The sequence below is a fragment of the Homo sapiens genome, chromosome 8 (assembly GCF_000001405.40).
Source record: "Homo sapiens chromosome 8, GRCh38.p14 Primary Assembly".
NCBI classification, from domain to species: domain Eukaryota; kingdom Metazoa; phylum Chordata; class Mammalia; order Primates; family Hominidae; genus Homo; species Homo sapiens.
Window position 1 is genome coordinate 85,040,731 of NC_000008.11, and position 20,292 is coordinate 85,061,022.

Here is a 20,292-nt window from a genome sequence, read left to right on the forward strand (position 1 = left end):
TACCATTTGGGGCTGGCTTGAGTGGAGAGAAGAGATCAGGAACAGAGGATAAGATATGAGTACAACCAACTCAGGGGAGGTAAAAACAGAAGCAAGAGAGGACCACAGAGGCATTTTCATGAGAGAGATGCTGGGTATCTCATCATGGTAGGGAGGGAAGAGTTCAAGATGTTATTATTTAAATGGTAATGGTAATGGTCTCAATGGAAGAGTAACGGCCCAATGCTGGAGTGGATGGAAGCTGACAATAATTCAATGTAACCACCAGGGTTATGTTGGTATGCACAGTGTGCTGTGCACAATGATAAAGGGTGGGAATGAATGGTAAATCAATTGATGTCAAGGAATAAAATTCATTAAGAAATGAATTTTGAAATAGCTAACCACAATTTTTTGCTCAGTACTGATAATATTAGATCTAATATGTGCATTTACAGTCTTGCACCACATAACAAATTTCAGTCAATGATGGACAACATATAAGATGGTAGTTCCATAAGATTAAATACAGTATTTTTATTTTATCTTTTCTATATTTAGATACACAAATTCCATCCTGTTACAATTGCCTACAGTATTCAGTAATATGCTGTACAAGCTTGTAGCCTAGAAGCAATAGGCTCTACCATATAGCCTAGGCCTGTAGTAAGCTATACCATCTAGGTTTGTGTAAGCACACTCTATGATGTTTGAACAATGATGAAATCACCTAACTGCATTTCTCAGAATGTGTTCTCATCATTAAGTGATGCGTGATTGTATGTATCAGCTTTACAGTTCCATTATGCTTTTACTTTTTAAGCTAACATTTATTTTGAGCTTACTATGTTCCAAATCCTGTATTAAGTGCTTGATAACTCTATGATATAGTTATCATAACTACCCGACTTTAAATATCAGAACACAAAGTCTCAGGTAAAGTAACTTGCTCAATGAGGTAAAACTGGGTGGGACAGAGGCAGGATTTGAATTCAGGCTGCAGATTCTGAGAGTCCTTGCTGTTAACAATGACTCTGTATACCTCTCTTTCATGCGTCATGCATACATCATTACATCTCAGCTCACAAACATGCCATTAATTCAAAACAGGAAAGAACTGAATCTGTTTGGGGAAAAGTTCCTGTTAGATACTAAAATGTGCAATTGGAGAATATGCAAATTCTGTCAAAAAATGAACAAATGTTTACATTGGAGGAACCGTTAATATTGTAAAACAGAATAGAAATAGAGAAGGTGGCCCTGAACCATAGAATTAAAAATAGGAAAAAAGAAAACTAGAGTCATCAGAGTTTTGATGATATACATTTTCTAAACAAGAAGCTGCATGATTTCAATATAGCTGCTTGACTACACATCAGCCTAAATTAGACACTAACACTCTTAAATATAGTTATAGTTAAAATAGTCTGGACACAAAGGAACTGAAGACTGTACAGTTCATGCAACAAATAAGAAGAGTTTTAATCAATATATCTTGACTAAAGGAGTGTGTGTGTGTCTGTGTGTGTGTGTGTGTGTGTCCTTATGGCTGCTTTGAACATAAATTCAAAATGGTGACTCAGCCATCTTGGCCTTGTGGAAGACTTACAATCGCTACGATCGCAGTGTACATGATTAGATAATCAGGAAAGGGACAAACTGTCAAGAAAAGATTTAAAAAGGAGATCCCTGAGATGCTGATAAAACTTAAACCTATGTGGCTTTTTTTTTTTAACTTTCACTGGAAAATGCCATAGCTTATAAAGTGAATTTAAATAAATAAATTGTTGCCATTGAAATCCTTTTATTTAAAAAAATAAAATTTAAGAAGCCCAAGTTGTATGATACAATTGACTCTCTAAAAAAAGGAATAAAAGATCTTTAGAAATTAATGAATGCCCAGTGTCTTAGGTATTTCTGTGACTGCTTACTCCCAGGGTTGGCAGCTTTCCATTGAAGGCAGAGCTATTCAGGCATCCTTTTCTCTCACTACAACTTCAAGCAACACAGCTATGTGCATTGTCAGACACTAAGGAAATGCTGAAAATTATTTACTTGTTCATCCAGCAAATTGACTGGGCACATACTGTTGAAATTCTAAGCCAAGTACTGGCTTAAAATTTGATCCAAAATTAGAAAGACACAGGTCCTGCCCTTGAGTCACTTACAGTCTAGAGAAGACTCAAACATGCAAGCCATGAGAACTGATATTCAGCTCTCACACACCAGATGACCATTCCACTTGTTTACAAGTGGGTTCCCCTGTTAGGTCACTGCCTATGCTGAACTGATTGTTAATTTTTTTTTTTAATATTCCCCCTGTAAGTAATTACAATGTACTGTGGTATTTTGTACATTAAAGGCAAATATATGATGCCAAAGAAACAGAGAAAATACATTGATTACATCTGAAATGGAAATGGAAATGATGAATAGCCTCACCTGTCCCGTGACAGTCTCTAAACACATCAGCCCATAGTGATGTTTATGAAGAAACAGAGACTTTTCAGGTTGCAAGGGACTCTAGAAATTAGCTAGACAAACCTCCTTGCTCTACAGAGAATGAGACGGAATCACAAAATGTTTCAATGACTTTCCACAATCACCAACCCAGCTGAGTGAAATAAGAACCACTCAACTTATCCCACCAGAAATTATCTCTTATCCCACCAGAGAGGTGGGATAAGAACCCAGGTCTTGTAATTTTCAGTCTCAATATTCTTTTTTTTTTTTTTTTTTTTTTTTTTTTTTTTTTTTTGAGACGGAGTCTCGCTCTGTCGCCCAGGCCGGACTGCGGACTGCAGTGGCGCAATCTCGGCTCACTGCAAGCTCCGCTTCCCGGGTTCACGCCATTCTCCTGCCTCAGCCTCCCAAGTAGCTGGGACTACAGGCGCCCGCCACCGCGCCCGGCTAATTTTTTGTATTTTTAGTAGAGACGGGGTTTCACCTTGTTAGCCAGGATGGTCTCGATCTCCTGACCTCATGATCCACCCGCCTCGGCCTCCCAAAGTGCTGGGATTACAGGCGTGAGCCACCGCGCCCGGCCTCAATATTCTTTAGAAGTCTATCTCACAATAGTCAGTAAGTCAGTAACACCGATGTTTCTAACAGATCCCTGGTTGTTTTGTGCCCATTGATTGCCCTCAGTGCCTTCTGTATTTCTCACATAACTACAGCAACATCACTGGAATGGCAGCAAAGACTAAAGCAGAACGCCTGGGCTTGGGTCAGGAGGCATGAGGTTAGATTCCTATTATATATTGCCTACTAGCTCATGACCCTGGAAAATAATTGCCCAATTCCTCTAGATTTTTATTTCTTCATTAAGAAAATGGAAATAACAATGCCTGTACTTGTGTGAGATTTCAAATAAACTATGCAGATAAAAACTCTGTGTTTCTCTGATTTCAGACCCTTCCCACCTTAGTTCATTCCCAATGTGATCTTTCTAATCCAGATCCAATCAAGTTATGTCTGTGCCTAAAACTCTTTAATGGTTCCCCACTGCCAAAGGGGAAAATCTAAACATCTAAACATAGTCCTTTAAAACCCTGACCTAGGCTTCTTTGCAATTGCATGTCAATCACTCCCCATAATATCCTATGTCATAGTTACATTGAATAACTTATTCACATTCCCTGAAGATGCCATGCTGTCCTACACCTGTTTCACTTGTGCTTTTCCACTCACTGTCATGTACTCCTCTCTCTAGACCCACCTCCCTAATTCATCCTTAAGGACCTTGCTTTAATGTTTGACATTTTTATGGCTAGCATGGATTTGTGTACTACTTTAATAATTAAAAGACTAAATAAACATTTTATTCTAGGAAAAAAATTATGATCATGTTTAAATGTCACATTTTCTGTTAAAAATTCCCGATACTCCTTGATCATTTAACTGTTTCCATGGTTACTGTGTAACTGGTACCTTCCTCCATTATTAATATCATAATAGGTTTATGTGTCTGCCTCAGTTCTGAGTCACTGAAGCAGGCAATGTGATCTCCCTCATTACTTACCTCAAGACCTATATTCATAAATAATGTGGAGAAAGTACCTATGAAAGACTAAACCATATGGAATCAGGATTGCACCAGTTACTCTTGGGCAACCCAGACTGTGGCACTCGTTAGAGCTTTTCTCTTCCAGGGAAGGAACAGAGACTAGTGTCAGAGCACAAATACAGATTCCCAAGCAGTAACTTAACAGTAATCCTCCTGTTCTGAAAATTGTCATGGTCCATGTTTTCCAATATAGTTTATATAATCACCAGAGTGGCATTGCCCCTAGAAACTGTTTTCTCAATTCCTCTAAAAATGTAACTCTCAATGTGCTTTTTAAAAGGCAAACTCTAGGGTGGTTGATTAATTTCAACTAGGCACTATGTATACTCTTTGACTAAAAAGGCAGTATAATAACTGGTGGCTTGGTTCTTTCTTGGGTGGATACAAAAGATGTAGATAACATACTGTTTGTTGATAATTTTTAAAGAGGGTACAATTATGAATGTGATATAAATATTAAATGAGCACTTCTCATAGGTATTATTTGATTCATTAATTTCTTTATCCCTCTCATCCTTTTTATTTTTTGTGTATGTTTATTTATGTTTTGTGTGTGTGTTATGTTAATGCTTAGCATAAGACCTATCCTGTTAACAAAATTTTAGATATACAATAAACTATTGTGTTGTATTTCATCATGACATACAGTAGAGATCTAGGACTTACTATTCATCTTGTAAAAATGCACCTTTGTACACTTTGACCAACATCTCCCTATTTGCCTCTCCTCTTTTCTGTCAACCACCATTCTACTCTCTGCTTCATTGAGTGTCTTGGTGCTTTTCTTTTTAATTTCAACTTTTATTTCATTTATAAGGAGTACATGTGTAGCTTTGTTACCTGGATATATTGCACCCAGGTCATGAGCATAGTACCCAGTAGATTTTCAACCCATGCCCCCCTCCCCTCTCTGGTAGTCCACAGTGTCTATTGTTCCCATGTTTATGTTAATGTGTGCTCAATGTTTAGCTCCCACTTATAAGTGAGAACATGCAGTATTTGGTCTTTTGTTCCTGCATTGGTTCCCTTAGGATTATAGCCTCAAGCTCCACCCATGTTGCTGCAAAGGACATAATTTCATTCCTTTTTATGGTTGTGTGGTATTTCATGGTATATATGTACCACATTTCTTTATCCAGTCAATCACTGATGGTCACCTAGATTGATTCCATGTCTTTGCTATGGTGAATAGTGCTGTGATGAACATATGAATGCATGTATCTTTTTGGTATAATAATCTATATTCCTTTAGGTATATACCCAGTAATGAGATTGCTGAGTCAAATGGTAGCTCTATTTTAAGTTCTTGGACAATGTCCAAATTGCTCTCCACAGTGGCTGAACTAATTTACATTTCCACCAACAGTATATAAGCATTCCCCTTTCTCCACAGCCTTGCCAACATCTATTATTTTTTGACGTTTTAAATTATTGGAGAAATTGCCACACTGCTTTCCATGATGACTGAACTAAATTACATTCCCACAAGTAGCGTATAAGCATCTCCTTTTTTCTGCAACCTTGCCAGCATCTGTTATTTTTTGACTTTTTAAAAATAGCCATTCTGATTGATGTGAGATGGTATCTCGTTGTGGTTTTGATTTGCATTTCTCTAACGATTAACGATGTTGAACATTTTTTATATGTTTGCGGGCCACTTGTATGTTCTCTTTTAAGAAGTCTGATCTTGTCTTTTGCCCATTTTTTAATGGGGTTGTTTTTTCTTGTCAATTTAAGTTTCTTATAGATTCTGGATATTAGACCTTTGTCAGATGCATAGCTTGTGAATATTTTCCCCATTCTGTAGGTTGTCTAAGTACTCTATTGATAATTTATTTTGCTGTGCAGGAGCTTTTTAGTTTAATTAGGTCCCACTTGTCAATTTTTGTTTTTGTTGCAATTGCTTTTGAGGACTTAAGTCAAAAATTCTTTGCCAAGCCAGTGTCAAGAAAGGCATTTTCTAGGTTTTCTTCTAGGATTTTTATAGTTTTAGGTCTTACATTTAAATCATTAAATCATCTTGAGTTAATTTTTATATATGGTGAAAGATCTAGGGGTCTGGTTTCATTCTTCTACATATAGCTAGCCAGTTATCCCAGCACTATTTATTGAATAAGGAATCCTTTCCCCATTGCTTGTTTCTGTCAGCCTTGTCAAACATCAGATGGTGATAAGTGTGCAGTTTTATTTCTATGTTTTCTATTCTGTTCCATCGGTCTATGTGCCTGTTTTTGTACCAGTACCATGCCATTTTGGTTACTATAACCTAACCTAATAGTATAGTTTGAAGTCAGGTAATGTGATGCCTGTTTTTTCTTTTCTCTTAGAATTGCCTTGGCTATTCAGGCTCTTCTTTGGTTCCACATGAATTTTAGTCTAGTTTCTTCTAACTCTGTGGAGAATGACATTGTTAGTTTGATACAAATAGCATTGAATCTGTAAGTTGATTTAGGCAGTATGGCCATTTTAATGATGTTGATTCTTTCAATCCATGAGCATGGAATATTTTTCCATTTATTTGTGTCATCTCTGACTTCTTTCAGCAGAGTTTCATACTTCTATTTGTTGAGATCTTTCACCTCTTTAGTTAGCTATATTCCTAAGTATTTCATTTTCTTTGTGGCTATTGTGAATGGAATTATGTTCTTGATTTGACTCTCAGCCTAACATTACTGGTGTATAGAAATACATCAGTAATTTTTGTACATTAATTTCATATTCTGAAACCTTGCTAAAATCGTGTATCAGTTCTAGTAGCCTTTTGGTGGAGTCTTTATGGTTTTCTAGGTATAGAATCATATCATCAGTGAAGAGAGATTTTTTGACTTCTTTACCTATTTGAATGCCTTTTATTTCTTTCCCTCATTTGGTTGCTCTGGCTAGGACTTCCTGACTCATTCATTCTTGAGAGAACCAGTAAGATGTTAGAATGACCCAAAGACTATGTGTGTGTGTGTGTCTATGTGTGTGTGTGCAATAATAAATTTGCTTAAAACATGCAGAAGAGGCCAATATCAATTGCGTTTATATGAGACACAATTTACCTTTCTATGGAAAATAATCATTTTATCATTACCAGTATCCTACTACTTATAAAGTTGTAAAATAACTTTATATCTACAATAGGTAAACTGAAAGTTGTGTTAGATAATGTCCAATTTTCCATTGAGGACACTCAATAATGTTTTCTATGCATTTCTAAGTCTTTCGCAATTTTTTCTGCAATATTATGCTATTAAAGCACTAATGCATTTTGTACAAAAAATTATATAGATTTAGAAGCAAATATTTTTGTGAGTATTCAACTAAACACTCTGATTGTTCTTGAACATTGCCTTATAACAACATGATCTATAAAACTGAACAATGTCTCTCAAATTGGTTGTTTATAAGATTTAACTGGGGTGCTTCTTAACATCTAGATTTCCAGGTCCTCTTCTAGGAAATTCTCATTTCAGTAACAAAAATTTCTCTTCAGAAAGGGAGCTAGAAATAAATATTTTTAAAGAAGCACCATACACGATTTTATGATTAGGCAAGTTGGGGAATGTTGACTGAAAGCAAGCCTGAAAATAATACCGTAACTATAATTTTAAGAATACTTAAATTAATTAAGCAATAGTTAATTGAACTTTAACCCAGGAGTTTTATCAAGACTTTCTTTGTTTTCCCAGGGAAAATGTCTAAATTCATAACCACTTATTGTTTCCCCAATTTGTTTAACTATTTTACCAGAGAATACATATTAATTGCATCTGAAGCACTACCTTTTTAACTTTGAAAGGCACTTATTCTATAAATTTCCCTCACCTCATGTATAGAGTGATAGCATTCTTTGAACTCCCAAAATTATTTTTGAAAAATTTACGAATGTAACAAAGTAATCAAGAAGCAATAAACTGAGGTCAGCCACCAAGAATAGCAGAGATAAGTGAGTCACCAAAGCCTAAAATATTAGTGCATGTGGGAGAGAAGTAAAGATGAAATAATGAGTCAGAGTGATATCTGAATCTAAAGAGCAAATCCACAATCAAATTTTGCATGAGTGCACAGATGGGCAAGAGAAGAGATTTAAGAAATAAATACAGTGGATCCAGATAAATTTCTGGGCAACATTCTTCAAAGAGAAAGACTCTTTATTCCCATAACAGGAACTGAATTTCAGCCAGTACATTAGTACATTGACATTATTTCTATAGTACTTGGTAAATGGTCACTATCCTAAGCCCCTATCCCTTCCCCCTAGCAAACCCAGGATCCGGCAACTGAAGGGATAATATCTGACTCAGCAGAGGACCCCAAAAACTTTGATCCAGACTTACTGACATCAACTATTCTAATTGCTTTAAGTCTTCATTCTATTGATGGTTAAATACTGTGGTTATTACTCTTGTTCACAACGATGCCTCCACTGTTCTTTCATGACTCTCTGAACCAGATTCCTGAGACTACAAAAAAAAATTAATTTTCTCCTAGAAAAATGGGCATTTTAATTCTTAGGACTTATTAACCTGAAAGTATCTCCGAGAGCACCCATGTTCTTACATTGCTATTGTCACTTAACACTTCACTATGTGTCACTTAACACTTCACTATGCGATAGTGCACCAGATGGGGGTTGCAGTTAATTCTTTGGTCACTTCTTAACTGATAAATTTTGTTGTCACTTCTTTCCTGCTAATTCCTGTGTAGCCTCCTTCCAGATACTCCTAAAAAGAGTCAGAAAAAAATTTTTCAAACATCTATGCTCTGTAAGAGACTATAGTAAATGCTACTATATTTAAACATGGACCTAAGCAAACAGTACAATTTAAAAGAAGAATAGGTGGTGCGGTGGCTCACGCCTGTAATCACAGCACTTTGGGAGGCCGAAGCAGGCGGATCACAAGGTCAGGAGATCGAGACCATCCTGGCTAACATGGTGAAACCCGTCTCTACTAAAAATACAAAAAAAAAAAAAATAGCCGGGCATGGTGGCGGGTGCCTGTAGTCCCAGCTACTCGGGAGGCTGAGGCAGGAGAATGGCGTGAACCCGGGAGGCAGAGCTGGCAGTGAGCCGAGATCAAGCCACTGCACTCCAGCCTGGGCCACAGAGCGAGACTAGTCTCAAATAAATAAATAAATAAATAAATAAATAAATAAATAAATAGAAGAATATGATTTCTTCATACAACAGAAGAATTTTTTTTCTTTATATGTATGTTGTATAACTTTTAATTTCTATTTACTCTGGGAATTCTATATTTCTTATTGAAATGGTTGGGCTTTCTCATTTTAAAAACTCATGTAAATTTATTTACACACCAGTTTATCTTTGTATGTAATGGAATTCGTGAGTTGCTTACACCAGATGTCTAAGGGAAAGTCCTGTTTCTTTAATTTGGAACTTGGGAAAATCCTTTTACAACCCTGGCCCTCAGTGTGCTCCCATGAAAATGAGTATACTGAACAAAATCAGAGCATTTCCAACTTTATATCAACATAAAGTTCTCATCAGAAGAAATTTTGCACAAAAACTTACCAATAAGCAGGGTTTTTCCAGTTTAAGCAGGGGAAGGCAGAGTATTGCCAGCTTGAAACTCATCCACTTCCCAGGCAACTTATAGACACCCTAAAGGAACTGCCTAAGATTCCACAAAAACACAGTGTAAAATTACAAAAAAAAAAGATGATCAGTAACACCCTTTCCAACTCTAAAATGTCTAGAAAAATTTATAGTATGTTCCTCTGGCTTGGGTTGTTCAGTTGTAGATCAAATGAAGACTGAACTGATTAAGGCTAAACTAGTACAAACACATAGTGGAGAATAATGTTATATGTTATACATAATATATGAGAAATAACAAAAAGTAGGCAAAGTTATGCCATTGTAACTCATTCTCAATCCCTTCACATCTTACGATACCATCCAAACCAAATATCAATTAAAGATAAAGTAATGCCTATTTAATTAAAAATAAACAATAAATTGTATTTAACTAAAAATTCAATCAAAAAATTAAAATAATAACTTTAATAGGAATCATAGACCACATTTTACTGTAAGCATTTAGCTATAGTGCTTTGTGTGTGTGTGTTAGTCCTTTTTCACACTGCTATAAAGACACTACCCAAGACTCAATAATTTGTAAAGCATATTTAATTGAGCCACATTTCTGCATGGCTTTGAAGGCCTTAGGAAACTTACAATCAGGGCAGAGGAGAAGCAGGTACCTTCTTCACAAGGTGGCAGGAGAGAGAGAGAGTCAGCACAGGAAAAACTGCCACTTTTAAAACCATCAGATCTTGTGAGACTCACTCACTATCATGAGAACAGCATGGGGGAACCACCCCCCATAATCCAATCACTTCCCTCCCTCAACACATGAGGATTACAATTCAAGATGAGATTTGGGTAGGGACACAGAGCCAAACCATATCAATATGGATACATGTATACATTTTAAAAATATAAGATATTTGAGGAAAATATATATATGTATGTATGTATATATATATATATATATATGTATTCTGCAAAAGTTTCCTTTGATTGTTTTATCTGAGGGACTACCATGTCCCTAACTAGATTCTAAGCCAGACCCTCAAAGCCACTACTCCTATACACTGATTTCAATTATTCTTTGGTGACCATCATTAATCCAGTGATTTGGACAACTTTAGAAAAGTTGAAATTTTACCAAATCCAATCCATACTTCACACGGTGACAAGAGTTATCTGTAAAAACATGAATTCATAAATCCATGACTAGCATGCTTAAAACACTCATAGCTTCCCACCGCCCGGAGACTCAGTGTGAAATCCCAGACCTTCATGATTTGGCCCCTGTAAACCTCACAAGCCTCACCTAGTTCCACTCTCTCTCTGCCCACTCCACTCCAGGAAGCTTGGCCTTCTCTCAGTCTCATGTTCTCTCCCATGTCGTGGGAACCTTAACTATGCTGTTCCTCAGCCTAGAACACACATCTTTTCAGGCAGTTGCTTCATCAGTCTATTCATTCGTCAGACATCAGCTGGGACCTCACATCCTCAAAGGAGCCTTCTTTGACCCAGTCTAAGTCAGACATCCTGCTACATGTTCCAACAACATCTTATATCTTTTCATAAAACTTTGCATTCTTAGGCTGGTTAAACATACACAAATCAATAAACTTAATCCATCACATAAACAGAACCAATGACAAAAACTACATGATTATCTCGATAAAATTCAACACCCCTTCATGCTAAAAACTCTCAATACACTAGGCATCGATGAAACGTGTCTCAAAATAATAAGAGCTATTTGTGACAAACCCTCAGCCAATATCATACTGAATAGGCAAAAACTGGAAGCACTCCCTTTGAAAACCAGAACAAGACAAGGATGCCCTCTCTAACTGCTCCTATTCAACATAGTATTGGAAGTTCTGGCCAGGGCAATCAGGCAAGAGAAAGCAATAAAGGGTATTCAAATAGGAAGAAAGGAAGTCAAATTGTCTCTGTTTGCAGATGACATGATTTAGAAAACCCCATCATCTCAGCCCAAAATCTCGTTAAGCTGATAAGCAACTTCAGCAAAGTCTCAGGATACAAAATCAATGTGCAAAAATCACAAGCATTCCTATATACCAATAACAGACAAACAGAGAGCCAAATCTTGAGTGAATTCCCATTCACAATCGCTACTAAAAGAATAAAATACCTAGGAATCCAACTTACAAGGGATGTGAAGGACCTCTTCAAGGAGAACTACAAACCACTGCTCAAGGAAATAAGAGAGGACACAAACCAATGGAAAAACATTCCATGCTCATGGATAGGAAGAATCAATATCATGAAAATGGTCATACTGTCCATAGTAATTTATAGATTCAATGCTATCCCCATCAAACTACCAATGACTTTCTTCACAGAATTGGAAAAAACTACTTTAAACTTCATATGGAACCAAAAAAGAGCGCGCATAGCCAAGACAATCCAGGGCAAGAAGAACAAAGCTGGAGGCATCATGTTACCTGACTTCAGACTATACTACAAGGCTACAGTAACCAAAACAGCATGGTACTGGTACCAAAACAGATATATAGGCCAATGGAACAGAGCAGAGGCCTCAGAAATAACGCCAGACATCTACAACCATCTGATCTTTGACAAACCTGACACAAACAAGCAATGGGGAAAAGATTCCCTATTTAATAAATGGTGTTGGGAAAACTGACTAGCCATATGCAGAAAACTGAAACTAGACCCCTTCCTTACACATTATACAAAAATCAAGTCAAGATGAATCAAATACTTAAACATAATACCTAGGATCATTAAAATCCTGGAAGAAAACTTGGGCAATACCATTCAGGACATAGGAATGGGCAAAGACTCATGTCTAAATCAGCAAAAGCAATGGCAACAAAAGCCAAAATTAACAAATGGGATCTAATTAAACTAAAGAGCTTCTGCACAGCCAAAGAAACTATCACCAGAGGGAACAGGCAACCTACAGAATGGGAGAAAAGTTTTGCAATCTATCAATCTGACAAAGGGCTAATATCCAGAATCCACAAAGGACTTAAACAAATTTACAAGAAAATAACAAAAAACCCCATCAAAAAGTGGGCAACAGATATGAACAGACACTTCTCAAAAGAAGACACTTATGCAGCCAACAGACATATGGAAAATGCTCATCATCACTGGTCGTTAGAGAAATGCAAATCAAAACCACAATGAGATACCATCTCATGCCAGTTACAATGGTGATCATTAAAAAGTCAGGAAACAACAGATGCTGGAGAGGTTGTGGAAAAATAGGAACGCTTTTACACTCTTGGTTGGAGTGTAAATTAGTTCAACCATTGTGGAAGACAGTGTGGCAATTCCTCAAGGATCTAGAACTAGAAATACCATTTGACCCAGCAATCCCATTACTGGGCATATACCCAAAGCAATATAAATCATTCTACAATAAAGACACATGCACATGTATGTTTATTGCGGCACTATTCACAATAGCAAAGACTTGGAACCAACCAAAATGCCCATCAATGGTAGCCTGGATTAAGAAAATATGGCACATATACACCATGGAAGACTATGCAGCCATAAAAAAGGATAAGTTCATGACCTTTACAGGGACATGGATGAAGCTGGAAACCATCATTCTCAGAAAACTATCACAAGATCAGAAAACAAAACACCGCATGTTCTCACTCATAAGTGGGAGTTGAACAATGAGAACATATGGACACAGAGAGGGGAACATCACACACCGGGGACTGTCGGGGGGTAGGAGACTAGGGGAGGGATAACATTAGGAAAAATACCTAATGTAGGTGACAGTTTAAGGGGTGCAGCAAACCACCATGGCACGTGTATACCTATGTAACAAAACTGCATGTTCTGCGCACATAACCCAGAACTTAAAAGTATAATAAAAAAAGAAAAAAAAAGAAAATTAGGATATAAAGGTGGAAAATTAAAGAAAAAAAACTTTGCATTCTTGGAACTATTTAATTCATCATTTATAATTCTTTGTTTATCTTCTGAATTTTTTTTTCTTTGCCAGTAAATTCCATGATGACAGTGCCGTTTTTGTTTCTCTTATCACTACAGCTCCAGCACTGCTTCTAGTACCTGGCATTTGGTACATATTCGATAAATATTTACTGACAATAAAGAACACTTCAAAAATTTACAAGTGCGTAATTTATTCCTTAATGGCTAGTAATAGTTTTCAACTCACTTTCTCATAACTAAAAAAATGCTTAAATTTTCTTTTGTTCTAAAAGATTTTATGCTTAATTCTTGAGCTGAATGGAATGTTCTGAATATATATGCTTTTATAGAGCCATCTAGTGCCCATTTTGTTTAGTGAAACTAAAAATGAAAACAGGAGGAAAAGTCCACAATATCCTCAACATTGAAGAATGCATAACCTCCATCTGGCAGCAGCAATTTAATACATCAACTGGCCTGTTGAATGACTTTTTTCCTGAGCTACTTCTGGCCTTCACTGTATACACACCAGATTAGTCATTCTCGATTATGGTAACTAAAAATCTGATGAGAGTTTTATAGTTAACAAGGTATGTTGAACAAAGGTGCTGCTACTTGCTCCCTCCTGAAACCCCACTACAATGACAATAAAGGAATAAAATATGCACAATGTGTAAAGATAAAGAGAACAGAGTAGGAAACAGCAGCAAATAAGAGATGTTAACAAAATTTTAGAACTTAGAAGAATGGGTAGTAACTGACATTGCCTTTAGAGAAAGCTGATAACTAAGGAAGACTGGAGGAAGCCAGTAAGAAGATGAATCCCCAAACATCTCAAAAGCTGAAGGCAAAATAGTTACAGCCCTTCTCAAGACTCTACTGTAGGATTTGTACTCCAGCAGAGCATAAACCAAGAAATAATGAAAACATGGTATTCAGGACACAGGATGAAGGAAAGAGGTAAAGGGAAATTCCCAGATTGATCATAATGGAGAATCTCAAGATTCCATCTGTGAAACAAAGAAAGTAACCAGTAAAAATTGGAGGAGAAGGATTGAGAACTCTAAGAAATATCTAAAAATGACAAAAAACAAAACAGCTGCTTGGATATATGGACAAGAGATTGCAGTTCCATCAAAATATTTGGGAATTAATTAGTAAGAGGTATATGAAAGAAAAATAGAAAATAAAAAATACAAGAAAAAATAAATTTAATAAATTGCTTAGCTGAAAATGATACTTAAAAGGTGATAATGGTGTAAAAACCAAATATCAATTTAATCAATTGAGATACAACTACTTTGGGAAGATGGGAAGAGAGAAAATAATGGAAGTGGTACATTCATGTAAAAGAGCGAAATCTCTTTAGTTAACCATTTTAATATCTAAACTGAAAATGTTTTAAAATGATAAAATTATATTTAGAAATATGGACACAAGCGCTGAAAATAACAGAAAATGGTTTCTTCTGGGAGGAAGAATCAGGAGTATGACTGCAGATAGATATTTCTTATTCTAAGTTTCAACTTTTAAAGGTATATAATTTTTAATAGGTACCATATATTTTTCTTTCTTCCCCGTTGTGCACTTCTACACTGAGCCATGGTGCAAAGCAGCATGTTTTCAGATCCTGTCTAAATGGTACTATTATTGATAGCCTTATTTGGTCTCAACTGGAACTTTGATTACACAATATTAAACATAAGAATTTTTCAATGTTTGTTAGATCAGACATGCACAAAGCCACCTCATCCCTTCGCAAAAAGTCCCCTCCCCTCCACTAGTTGCTTGAGTACAATGGCTGATTTGTCCTCTCTGGCTTGAGGGATATTTTGTAATGTCTGGCATCACAAAGCACTCCTTATGAAAGCACCAGACATCAATTGCCCAATTTTCTACCAGATTTTTCCACAGTAACTCTTTCACACTTGGAACCAAAGTGTGATGCCACATTGCTGGCATTTTATAGTAGCCTGTGGGAACCATTCTAGTCAGCATTATATGGGCCAGTACTTTTGTGAGGGCTGCCTGTCAGGTGTAATCAATCAGCAGCTTGAGCATTTCTTTTAGCCTCAATGATCTGCCTTGTTGTATGGATTCACACTTTTATCATAGTCACCTTCTTAGAAAGCATTAAAACACCTACAAATTCTTAAATGAGCTGATTATTTTTCACTTTTTTCACTAGGATTTCTACAGAGGTTAAAGAAAACAAAAAACTCATTTTTTCAGTATTCCAAAATCATGGACTACTCCAAAGGCATACTACTCTCAGTATATGTCTTAACTCTATTATTACTCACTAGTTGGCAAAGCTCTGGTGACCATGATAAGTTCTGCCCGGCAGATTTTTCCTCTAGTAAGATGTCATATTCTAGGCAACAATCAGTTGAACGCATTGCTTATGCTCTTCATGTTTCGAGACTCCACAACCTAATTGGTGGGCTGCCTATAGTCTGAAAAATACGCATTTCCTAGTAGATAAAAGGTTTGAAGAGGAGATCTTTTCCACAGTCAGACTCTCACTAGACAAAACAAGGTAAGTGTGGGTAAAGTTTTCATAAGGTTTTTAATAAGTGACTGAAGGCAAAATGTATCCAAAGAACGCCATTCTGAGGAGAAAGCTTCTGAATTTCTTAGGTCCCAGGACTGTCTTAAAGAATGGATTTAACAGGCCCTATACTGGACCTCTTCCCTATGAATTTACTATAGCAGAATCATAACAAATAAGGAGAAGGATAGACAGAGAAAATAATGTTATTACTAGCAAGGCAGTTTTCCAATAAGCAAAAAACTTTTAAATCTGATTACATAATAAAAGGATTCTTAAAAGAGATCTAATTTCTGAGGAAACAAAATAACCTTAGCATTTGGGAGCTCAACGAAAAGGAAATCATAGGTCAGACCCAAGGTGAAACATCTCATACTGTAGTGTGAGATAGCATAGCCCAAACAGGAGGCTCAAGGAACCTTGGTGAAGCACACTGTTTTTGAGTTGAGCGTCTTGAGTTGCTGCAATGAAGATTTCTTGAATGGATCTTGGTAGAACTTTCACATTGTTGAATTTCCAAAAATATCACCAAAGTTTAATTAAGCAAAGCTGCATTTATTAGAATTTACTATGGCAAAGTAAAATTTCACTTCTACATTTTTAGAAATCAAGTATACAGAAAAGAAAGTGGTATGCTTCAAAGATCTTCAATTTGCTAACCTCTACCTTTAGTGTCTCTCTCTCTCTCTTTCTCAACATACCTGGAGGTAAAGTCCTCTGGACATGTATGACTCTCTTTTAAATATGTTCTTGATTAGGAAAATGAGGTCTTTTGTGAATTCAGACCTGTGCATATCTGGTCACATAAAATTGCACCAGACAAGGCAGCTACATCACACACTTGCAATGCTAAATGAAATACCAAGTGAGGCTCAGTTGCCCATGCTAGACACATATTCTTGTCATCTCTTGCTAGCCAGTAAATGGTGAAATAACAAATATGTGCATAACATGCCACCCAAGATACCTTACCTCTTTAGCTCTAATAATATTTGCTTTATATATCTGGGTGCTCCAGTGTTGGGTGTGTGTGTGTGTGTGTGTGTGTGTGTGTGTGTAATACTGAAGCATAGTTATGACCTCTTGCTGAACTGATTCCTTTATCATTATCATTATGTAATGCCTTTCCAGCTTCTTTTATGTTTTTTGACTTAAAGTCTTTTTTGTTTGATATAAGCATGGCTACTCTTACGCACTTTTGATTTCTTTTTGTGTGGAATATCTTTTTCCTTCCATTCACTTTCAGTTTTTGTGTGTCTTTACAGGTGAAGTGAATTTCTTGTAGGCAGTATATAGTTAGGTCTTGTTTTTTATCCACTTAGACAGTCTATATATTTTAATTCAGGAACTTAAACTACTTACATTCAAGGTTGTTATTGATAAGCGAGGACTTACTCTTATCATTTTGTTAAATTTTTTTCTGGTTGTTTATGTATCCTTTGTTTCTTTGTCTCTTTTTATTTATCTTTGTGGTTTAGTGATTTTCCATATTACTAAAGTTTGATTCCTTTCTTTTTCTCATTTGTGTACCTGTTTTACCAGTGAGTTTTACACTTTCATGTGTTTTCATTATGATAGATATCATCTTTTCTCTTTCAAATGTGTGACTACCTTAACATTTCTTGTATAGACAGTCCAGTGGTAATGACAAGCTTGTGCTTTTCTGGGAAAGAATTTATTTCTTCTTCATTTCTGAAAGATAGCTTTATCAGCTATAGTATTATTGCCTATGAATTTCTTTCTTTTAGCATTTTGTATATATCACCTTATTCTCTTCTAGCCCATAAGGTTTCTGCTGAGAAATTTGTTTGTCTGAAGAGGATTCTCTTATATATGACTTGATGCTTTTCTCTTGCTGCTTTTAGAATTCTCTGTCTTTTAATTTTGACAGTTTGCCTATAACGTGCCTTGTAGAAAACTTTTTTAAGTTGAATCTATTTGGGAAGCTTTGCACTTTGTGTATCTGGAAGTCCATATCTCTCCCAAGACTAGGGAAAGTTTCAGCTATTATTTTGTTAAATAGGTTTTCTATGCCTTTCCCACCTCTTCTGCTTCTGAAACTCCCACAACACAAAACTTTGTTTGCTTAATGGTGTCCCACATGTCACATAGGCTTTCTTCATTCTTTTTCATCCTTTTTCTTTTTCTTTTTTTGTGTTCAATGGTTATTTTTAAAAGACATGTTTTCACATTTAGAAATGCTTTCTTCTACTTGATCTAGTCTATTGTTGAAGCTCTCAACTGGATTTTTTGTTTAATTCCTTGAATTATTCACTTCCAACATTTCTGTTTGGTTCTTTTTTATGATATCTATCTCTTTTTTGAATGTCTTAATTTTTATATTTTTGTTATGTGTACATAGTAGTTGTATATATTTATGGGGTACCCGAGATATATTGATATAGGCATACAATGTATAATAATCACATCACGGTAAATAGGGTATTCACCACCTCAAGCATTTATCATTTCTTTGTGTTATGAACATTCCAATTATACTGTTATTTTCAAATGTACAATAAATTATTGTCACCCTGTTGTGCTATCAAATACTAGATCTTATTCATTCTAACTTTATTTTTGTACCCATTAACCACCATCACTTTTCCTGCTGAATCTTATTAGATCATAAATTGTTTTCTTGATTTTGTTGGTATTATTTTGAATTCCATATCAGGCATTCCATACATTTCCTTTTCTTTGGGGCATGTTACTAGATAATTATTGTGTTCTTTTGGAGATGTTACATTTCCTTCTTTTTTTTTTGGCTTCTTGTGGCCCTATGTTTATATCTGAACTTCTGGTGAAATAGTTACTTCTCCCAACTTTATGAAGCAGCTTTCATAATGAGAGACCTTTTCCTGTAAATGTGTCCTATAGTGTTGGTTAGGTAGGGTGCTTGGTTTTGTTTCTGGGTGGATGCAGTAGTGTAGTCTCTGTATGATTTCTTTGGCCATAACCAATAACAGCAGTGTCTGCAAATGCCTCAGTGGTGTAGGCTGTGGTTGCTTGTGGAGGCTATGATGTGGCTTTGTTGAGGATGAGGACACTGGGAAGGTAGATCCTTCAGGTCCCTGAGAGGCATGCACAGGTGTGAAATAGCTATGCTGCTGGAAGGGATAGGGTTGTCAATGGTGGTAGTAGCAAGAACCAGGCAGACCAGACCTTGGACCTCTGGGTGCCATGCAGGTGGATAGCAGCCCCACTGTTGAGGAAGTTAGTGTTGCTGGTGGTGGCAGTAGTAAGCCCCATGTAGGCTGATCTTCAGGCTCCCATGTGGTTCTGCTGCTAAAGGGACAAAGTTACCTGGCAGTGGGGCAGCAGGCCTTGCATGAGCTGGTTGTTGGGCCCTGGTGATCCCATCCCATCATTGAACAGGGCAGGGTTGCTGACAATAGTGAGCTGGCTGTGGGCAAGCCAGTTTTCACCCCTGGGTGGTTCTACTGCTGAGAGGGACAGAGTTGCTGGCGGTAAGGGCAGCAGGCCCCAGGTGGGCAGCTCTCAGTCTCTGAGGAGATCACATACTGATTCCCACTGTCTTGAGGGCAGCTTTCCTGCTGTGCTGGACCTCTTGTTCCCCAGAGTACAGGGCACTGTGTGGGCTTGGGTCCCAAGGTCATGGCTGCATCACTGGTGTCAAAATACTGCAGCCCTCTGGGTAGATGTGCTATCATGTCAGTGGTGCCCCAGGGATATGGAGATGCAAGGGCTATTAGGCCCCTGGGCAGGGTGCAGTCTTGTGTTTGCTTCTCTCTCAAAATGGCACCAGGCTGCAGTAACATGTGTGTCAGTGAGTTGGGAGGACCCAGAGTAAATTTCTTCTGTGGAATAATATAGTTTTGTGGACTCCAGGCAGCTCCCTATATATTGTGTTCGGGGCCTACTAGAAAGCTATTGGGCTTTCTTATAACTAGGACTGCAGGAATCTGTAGTAAGAGTGTGGACTGCTGAGGATCTCTTCCCTGCCTTCTCCCTGAATGAGTTCTTCCAGTTAATCCTGGCAATTTGTTTGCTTTGCTCTCTATGGTCCTATCCCAAGCCTCCATGCCTCAGAGAGTCTCTGTCACTTCCTTGCTAAATTCTAGTGTTCTCTAGACACTCTATTCAACATGTGGTTATCTATTTGTTTTTTTGGTCCTTCCTTTTTAGGGAGGTTAGTGCTGAGCACCTTTAGTCAGCCATCTTGATATAAGCATCAAAAACATCTGTATTGAATGCCTA